General features: G+C 36.4%; 1 pseudogene; it reads left to right on the forward strand.

Moving 5' to 3' along the window:
* On the forward strand, positions 261-1613 carry HNRNPA1P69 (heterogeneous nuclear ribonucleoprotein A1 pseudogene 69; annotated as a pseudogene).

The raw sequence follows: 9471 nt of genomic DNA on the forward strand, positions 1-9471 counted from the left end.
TTCCAGTCTAAATCTTAATTCCAGCAGCATGACCCCCTAGTCTGCTCTGGCAATCAGAGCATTGCAATCTTGGAAGTTTTATTGCCTGTAAGGAATTCGAGGAGAGGCATACAATTTTTTACCACATTCCCAGCCAGGAATAGTTATTTTACTCAAACAACTTATTGTAATGGGAGTGTACTTTTCGTATCTGCCCATTTTGACCACCAGAACCTTTTTGTAGAGTACCATTTTTTAATTATAAAAATGACACATTAGGGCTTTCTGCCTGTGGATGCCACTGAAGAACGATCACTAACGTCTCTCTTCCCACTGCCATCGTGTCTAAGTCAGAGTCTCCTAAAGAGCCCAAACAGCTGTGGAAACTCCTCATCAGAGGGTTGAAATTTGAAAGAATTAATGAGAGACTGAGGAGCTAATCTGAGCAATGGAAAATTCTCACAGACTGTGTGGTAATGAGAGATCCAAATGCCAAGCACTCCAGGGTCTTTGGGGTTGTCACATGTGCCACTGTGGAAGGGGTGCATGCAGCCATGAATACAAGGCCACACAAGGGGGATGGAAGAGTTGTGGAACCAAAGAGAGCTGTCTCAAGAGACCAGATGCCCACTTAACTGTGAAAAAGATATTTGTTGGTGGCATTAAAGAAGATACCAAAGGGCATGAGTTAAGAGACTATTTTGAACAGCATGGGAAAATGTAAGTGATTTAAATCATGACTGATGGAGGCAGTGGCAAGAAAAGGGGCTTTGCTTTTTTGCTTTTGTAACCTTTGATAGCCATGACTCCGTGGATAAGATTATCATTCAGAATTACTGTACTATGAATGGCCACAACCTTGAAGTAAGGAAAGCCCTATCAAAGCTAATGCTTCATCCAGCCAAAGAGTTCAAAGTGGTTCTAGAAACTTTGGTGGTGGTCATGGAGGTGGTTTTGGTGGGAATGACAACTTTGGTCATGGAGGAAACTTCAGTAGTCATGGTGGGTTTGGTGGCAGCTGTGGTGGTTGTGGTGGATATGGTGGCAGTGGAGATGGCTATAATGGATTTGGTAATGATGGAAACAATTTTGGAGGTGGTGGAAGCTACAGTGATTTTGGCAGTTACAACTGTCAATCTTCAAATTTTGGACCCATGATGGAAGGAAACTTCAGAAGCAGAAGTTCTGGTCCCTATGGTGATGGAGGCCAATACTTTGCCAAACCATGAAACCAAGATGGTTATTGTGGTTCTAGTAGCAGCGGTAGCTATGGCAGTGGCAGAAAATTTTAATTACTGCCAGGAAACAAAGCTTAGCAGTAGAGTAGAGCCAGAGACATGACAAGGAAATTACAGATTACAACAGGTCTGTGAACTCAGCCAAGCACAGTGGTGGCAGGGCCTAGTTGCTACAAAGAAGACATGTTTTAGATGATAGTCAGGTGTATGGGTAAAAAAACTCTAGGACTGTAGTGGTGACTAATTGTATAATAGGTTATTTTAGTTTCTGCTCTGTGGAAAGTGTAAATCATTCCAACAAAAGGTTTCAATGTAGAATATTTTTTACTTTTTGCACCTATGCTGTTGATTGCTAAATGTAATAGTGTGATCATGACATTGAACAAGTGTGTCTTTAAAGACAATACATTAGGTACATTTTCACACCTTACTATGGAAAACATAATTTTACTGCCTGCACAACACCTTTTTTGCTGTATGACTAGATTTAATAAATTTTACTGCTTATAAAAATACATATCCTGGTATATGATTTTTTTAATATAACATTGTGCTAAATTTACTCAAAGAGTATAATAAACATGTTTATGGCTCTTAATACATATTCCTAATTTGCTTTCCAGAATATGTTGCTTATTTAAACTCCCACTAGGAGCTAAACTTCTACTGTGAATTTCACCTCCTCTTTACCAAAACTGATGATTTTTATTTTAAAAAATTGTTGATAGTTTGGTAAAATTTATTATTAGAAAGGTGGAACTTTTTATATTTTATTATCTATTTGCATTTCTTCTTCTGAGAATTGTCATTTCTTATTCCTTTTAGCATTAGAACTTGGTTTTCTTTAGAGCCTTTTATTTTTATAGTGTTCCTTGTTTTGCTCAATTTGCAGCTAATCTTCTGTGTCCTTGCACTAAAACTATCAATTTTATCTCAATTGCAGAGGTTCTCTAACCCTTCGACTATAACTTTTCAGAGTTAACATATTAGAGGATTTTCTTTCTCACCCACATTTATACAGCTCTTTTTTCATATCATAGTGCAGAATTGGGCAAATGCAAGGACTGTTCTCCAAAATCTTTGCTGCCCATTTTGCTCTGGAGTTGGCTTTTCTATCTAGACTTTATCTTTACTTCAGATATGTTCAATTTTTTTTTTTTTTTTTTTTTTTTGAGACAGAGTCTTGCTCTTGTTGCCCAGGCGGGAGTGCAATGGTGCGATCTCGGCTCACTGCAACCTCCGCCTCCTGAGTTCAAGCTATTCTTCTGCCTCAGCCTCCTGAGTAGCTGGGATTACAGGCACCAGCCATCACATCTGGCTAATTTTTGTATTTTTAGTAGAGATGGGGTTCCTCCATGTTAGCCAGGCTGGTCTCGAACTCCCAACCTCAGGTGATCTGCTGGCCTTGGCCTCCCAGACTGCTGGGATTACAGGCGTGGGCCACTGCCCCCGGCCGATATGTTCAAATTTATACCATCTCTTGTGAGATGCACAGTGGTAGGACGTGAAGGTTGTTAAGCCATCCTAGGTTTAGGTCAGAAGGCGGACTTCCTTCTACAGATAAGCCATCAATTCTTTGATACCATCCCACGCTATTAAACACATCCTCTAAGACAGCCACTTGAGGTTGTACTGTATTGTTTCATCATACACTTCCAATGGTAGTCTGTAAAACTGACCACCAAATGTCTAGTCACTGCCATACCAACTTCTACATTACAGAAAGAAACAATTTGGCAATGAAAACGACTTAAAGGGCACATCATCTCTACTTCTGAATCATCTGACTTCTTTCCACAGGCAATAAAATTAAATACTCAAACTAGGAAATGTATTTTTTAAACTAGTAAAAAGATATCACAGAAAGAATGAGGGCAATGGGCTGGTGTCCTGGCCAGGGTTGGTTCTCAGCCCTGTGCTGCTGGAAGAGGCTCTGGCCACCTGCAACCCTGAATTGGAATAATTGAGTAAATAATTATCTTATTTATGTTTATTAATCTCTCTTAAATGTATATATATCTCAAATTTATTTTAATGTTTAATATTAGATGTGTTTTAGTTTTTATTTAGAAACTTGGTGATGTTTTTGTGACCAGAAATATGCTGTAGGAACTTAGCTCTTTTTATATCAATTAGCCTGTAGTAAAATTGGTTTCATTAATGATCATTTTTGCTTAAAGTAGCAGTTTCCAAGAACTCATCCACAATGTTAAGTGAGGACCTAGTGTACTTCAGCCAAACAGAATAAGTCAGGACCTCAATGCCCTTTTCAATTGCCTGCAATTGGCCAGATGTAGGCATGAAAGCGTTGATCCAAGTAGAAAAAAATCGGGAAGATCTGAGGATCAGGATGGATACAACCACCCATGAGCTAAAGAGACAAAGTAATTTGTCATGCTGCTCTCAGCCAGGACACTGCCTTCAGCCAGGTTTGACCCTTTAAAGCAGCAGTTCCTACCCACACTGTGTCCATCAGAATTACCTGAAAGATTTGGTAATATGCAAGTTCTCAGGAGCTACTTTGAGAGTTTTTAATTCAGTGGGTGATTCAAATGGAGCTCAGAATCTTCATTTCAACATGTAACTGATTTTTTTAATGAGATGGTTTGAGAAACACTCTTTAAGAAACACCACTTTTAAAAGTAACTGTTCTTGGGAATTCCAGTTGTACCAAAATCTGCCAAGTGTCTCAACAACATGTACTCAAAAGTTCATCCTTACCTCACTGATCTGAGCTTCCATCTTTATTATATACCAAATTTCTACATGTATTTGGGTCTATCCATGGATTTTCTAGTCTCTTATCTAGACCATTCTATTTACATGCCACACTGTGGTAATCACGGAAGCTTTAAAATATGTTTTAGTATCTGATAACGTCATTACTCTTCTTTCCAAGATATTTCTTGGCTAATTTTTCTTTTGTCCTTTTTTTCATAGTAACTTTAGAATCTACATGTTCTTTCATGCTTCATTCCTTCCCTTCTTCTCTCTCTTCTTCCCTTCTTTCTCTTTTCATCCATCACTAGCAATGTGCTAATCTTCTTGGCCTCATGCTAATATTAGCCAAGTTATAATTCAATAAATGGAGAGAAGATAAATTTGAGAGGTCAACTATCCTATTTGTCAAGACAAATTTGATTTGCTTAAGATCAGAAGAAAGGCAAATTAAAGGAATAAAACTATTAATATTTTAATAAAAGCACATTAATTGTATCAATTACTTTAGGAAGAATTGAAATCTTTACAATTTTGAATATTTCTATCCAAGAAGTTAATGTCCTAAAAATCTTGTGTTTTTGTGCATGTGTATGTGTGTTCTTCAGGAATGTTTTAATGTACTTCTCATAAAATTGTATTCATTTATTGTTAAATGTGTTCCTAAGTGTTTTATCATCTTGTTGCCATTGTAGGTGGTATATTCTTTTTTTGGATTTTTCAGTTATTTATCGCTTGGGTTTCTGAAGGACATTACTTTATGCATATTAATTTTACACCACAATTTGTTATTGAAGACTCATCACTTGTAGTACTTTTTTGTTGAATCTCAAGATTGTCAGTTTTGTAATCCAAATATCTAGAAATAGTAATAACTTTATCATTTCAAATTTCGTGACTAATTAATTCTATTGTCTAAATAGCATTGAATAATACTCCCTGTATAAAATATTAATATGTTAAGAAATTGTCCGTTTTATTAAGTGTTCTCATCAAGAATGAATATTGGACTTTGTTTAAAGGCATTTTTTAATCTATAAAAAGAATGCATATTTTTTCTTCTTGTATATCATATTTCTGCTTGTGATAAATATATTTCTTAATATTGAACTACATTTATATATTTCTGAAATAAGTCACATTAAAAAAATGATGTACTATCATTTTTTAAAAGGTAATGTTGAATTCTATTTGGTAATATTTTATTTAAGATTTTGTCTTACATTTATAAATAAATTGCAATTTAATGTTTTAAAGTCCAGCCAAGTTTTAGAGTAATTTGACCCAGACCACACTTGGTTTCCTGCCCCTTCTGCTGAGTCTTATATCTTGGTTTACCAATCACTGAACCTAGCTCTTCTTTTTTTTTTGGTCAAAACATGAACTTGAATAAAGTAACTGCAAGAAAGTAGAGAGTCAGAAAAACATGATTCTTAAAAAATGACAAAGATAAAATCTTCCATTGAGACTTATCAACATTTTCACTCTGTAGAGGTATTATACTTTGTAGCATTTAAAATATTTGTAACATTTCCAAGTTTTCAATTAAAAAATAAGGTAGGAAAAAAATGAGAAAATTAAAAATAAATAAATAAAATTAATTCACTGTTTAATTGAAAAAAAAATCATGAACGACTGGCCTAGACTTTGCCTCTTGACCATCTGAATTCTAGCTCTTACACATGTGTTTGGGGACCTTCATGCCTCTCCTTGCAGGGACTTCCTGGGTTTTGCCCCATTTGAATCATCATGTGACTGGTTTCTGTTTCAGGTTCCTGATCCCATTCAGACTAAATTCCAAACAATTTCCATTTGTTTCCTTCCCACTTTCTATGTTTAACTTACTCCTAGGACCATCTGATAAATCCTCAAGGACCAAATATTAATTACTTCTGCCGATAAACTCTAAACAACTGGTTCTTTACTGCCCCCTTGAGGGCCTTGGCCTCCACACATGCTGTGGCCTATTCTAGAGGTGCTTAGTCCTTGCCACCTGGCTTATTCTCTCCAGAACAAGGACTAAGGTACAAAGAATACAGTATGCTGAGAGCAGCGGAGAAGACAAAGATGACACCATTCCTGTCTTCAAAGGACGTAAAAACTAGATGAACAGAGGAGAAGTGAGGCTTGTGTGTGTTTAGGGTACAGGGGTTAGAAGGAGGGTGTTGTAAATCAGGCACAAGCATTAGTCAAAAATTAGCTATGAGTCTCAGGAGGCAAAGGGGTGGTTCAAATGACTCCTATAATAGTTGAGAAAGGGAAAACAGATGTCACTATGACAATGAGGGAAGACTTCATGGAGGACATGCTTCAGAGCTGCTCTGCAAAAGGTAACATCACATACATGGACCATGAGGAGGGAATCCCCTATGGGAAAACATGGCATGAGTGAAAGGATCAGCAGAAATAGGTGAAGATAGGAAGGGGATATTTTGGCTAGAATGAAGGATTTACATGGGGCAGCAGAATGAGAGAAAAGGCTAGAAAGATAGTTTTAATCCAGATTGTGGAGGAAATTACATTTATCTCATCACTAATAGAAGGCTTTCCCTGAAAGCAGATTCTGTTAGTAGGCAAATAGAAAAGAGAATTACAGAGGGGAGTGCAAGAGAGAATCAGATATAGAGGGAATACAGGTCTCAGAATACAAATACTGAGTGGTAGGAAGATGAATAAAAGAGAGAAAAAATGTCAGCCCTACGGCTTTTTCTATAGTCTCATCATTCACATCCTACAGAGCACACAGGTTACATGCTACATGAAATAAGGCATTGTGATCAATACCTTTGGAGATATGTCCTGTGAAGTACAACAAGGACTCAAACCACACAAAGCCTCCAGAAGAACTGCTTTATGACTCTCTCTGTGTGTGTGTGTGTGTGTGTGTGTGTGTGTGTGTGTGTGTGTTAAACTAGCAGTCCACAGGTGGGAGTTTTGTTATAAACAGTACAGATGTTGACTGTAGTTATCGCTTGAGCCTGTCATCAGTATATCACAGACATATCCCTGCCACCCAGAGATAGGTGACTCTTGCCAGTGTTTGGCCATTGTGCATAGCAGCAAGAGTTTCTAAGCTGAGTTCAGTCCCTATATGGATCTTGTTATTCTACTAGATGTCCTGATGAGATCACCAGTTTGTTGTTCAAAACAACAAAAAAAGCATAATAAAATTGTCAGTTAAATGAAAAAGCAGCATAATTAACTTGTGTAGTAATTATTTTTTTTTGCTACAATAACGAAGTACTCCAGAATGTAGTGGCTTACAGCAGCAATAAACATATATTATCTCATACGGTTTCTGTGGGCCAGGAATTCAGGAAAATATTTGCTTGGTGGTTCTAGCTAGGAGTCTCTCTTAAGGGTATAGTGAGGATGTTGGGCAGGGACATAAACATCTGAAGGCTTGGCTGAGCTGGAGGATCTACTTATTTACATGGCAGGTAAACAGGTGCTGGCTTGACAGGAGACTTTTCCACTGGGTTGCTTAACTTCCCTTATGACATTATGACTGGCTTAACCCAGAGTGAATGATCCACATCAAGAAAGAAGCCCCAATGTTTTGTTATGACCTAGCCTTGAAATCCTCACATTATAATTCCCATATTATCCTACTGGTTGCAAAGGTCAGCCTCATTTGGAGACAGTGAAAGGGGCCTATACAAGGACTTCCATGCAATGAGACAAGGCTCTTCAGGAAGTGTTTTGGAATCTGGTTACTATGATAATTCTAACATAAAATGCTATTCTATAAAAAAAAGTATTTTGTGCCTTAGCTAAATTGCTATAGTGAAAAAAAGTCACATCTCACTGTGACACATTAGTGTATTTAAGATAATTATTGAGTTGGTATTTAAAAAGAAAAATAATTTTATAAGTAAACACAAATCCAGATAATGAAGTTACAGTTATAGAAGGGTATACCTTTTGGAGTTTGCTATTTATTTTAAATAATTTAAAAGTGTGTTTATTTGTTGCATGTTGACTTGCAATAGGAATCCCTTTACAAATTTGCATCAATAAGATTTAAATTTCATTTTTTCAGCAATATGATAAACTCGGTTGTGAGAGAAACCCTTTCCAGTGCAATTTATACTAAAATGATGCATAATAGAGGAAGACAATTTGCCACTCTCTTCATTGGTTCTGAGCAGAAAGCAGACAGTATCTCCTCTTCAAATCCCTAACCACCTCTCTCAACTGGCTTGGGGCCTAAAACTACACTGCTTATGTGGCTTCCCAAACTGCAGGCCATAACTTTGAGTTACAGTTGCCCTAAGTTGATAATGTTCTCAAGTGCCTGGCGGAAGCAAACATGAACTGTCACTGAGAGAATTTGCTTTAAACACAACCTTCAAATAAGTTCCACTCATGAAATTCTAAGGAACAAAGGCTCAAAATAAGAACTTACTAAACACTTGAGGAGGCCAACTTTCCTGAGCAAAGTTCAGCTGAGACAATAAACTGCAGATTAAGGACTTCCAAGAATGCAGAGTTTAGAATTATCAGATAAAGATTATAAAATATTTAATATGTTCAAATAAGTATAAGAGTAAGTGGAAAGTAATGCTAAGAAAAAGAGACTATCAAAACTGACTAGAAAGATTTTTAAAATTAAAAACAAATAGAATTTTTGAAAATAAAAAATCATAATTGAAATTAGAAATTAAGTGTATGAATTCAATAGGAGAAATGATCAGCTAAAGAGAGTACTAGTGGACTGGAAGATAGAAGTGAAGAAATCATAAATTGTAGGACAGAGAGAGAATGAGATGGAAAACAGCAGAGACTAGCAAAAAGAGCAGTCAGAGTGATAAGGTTCAACTTAAATCTTGCAAGAGTTCCAAAATAAGAAAATAAAGAAAATAGGAAAGAGGCAGTATTAAAATAGATAATGGCTAAGAAATATCCTTAGTTAATGAAAGAAATCAATTTTCAGGTTAAAGAAGTGTAATAAATCTCAAGTACAATGAATAAAAGAGAAAAAACAAAAATCCCCAATCCAAAAGTCTAAAGTCAAATAAAAAAAACAATGAAAATGGAAAAATCAAGAGAAATAGAAAATCCAAAGTGGAAAATAAAAAGATAGAGATAAATCCAAATATGTCCATTATTATAGACAGTACAAACTAGTTAAGAGGCAAAGATTGTCAAACTGAGAAAGTCCAGTTATACATTATTTAAAAGAGACACATCTAAAACATTAAGACGTGAGAAAGTTGAAAGTAAAATGATGGGCCAGGCATGGTGGTGGCTCACACCTATAATCCTAGCACTTTGGGAGGCTGAGGTGGGAGGATTGCTTGAGGTCAGGAGTTTGAGAACAGCTTGGGCAACATAACAAAACCCGATCTCTACAAGAAATTACATAAATAACATTTTTAAAAGTAAAAATAAGAAAAGGAAAAGAAAATGATGAAAAAAGATTTACCAGACAACGGTGGAAGAGAACAGGAAAAGGGGAGGGCAAAGGAAGGAAGAGAGATTGTGGGAAAAAGAAGACGGGAAAGAGAAAAAGAAGAGGATGAAAAGGAGGAGG

Source organism: Homo sapiens, chromosome 12 (genome assembly GCF_000001405.40).
Source record: "Homo sapiens chromosome 12, GRCh38.p14 Primary Assembly".
Taxonomy (NCBI): Eukaryota; Metazoa; Chordata; class Mammalia; order Primates; family Hominidae; genus Homo; species Homo sapiens.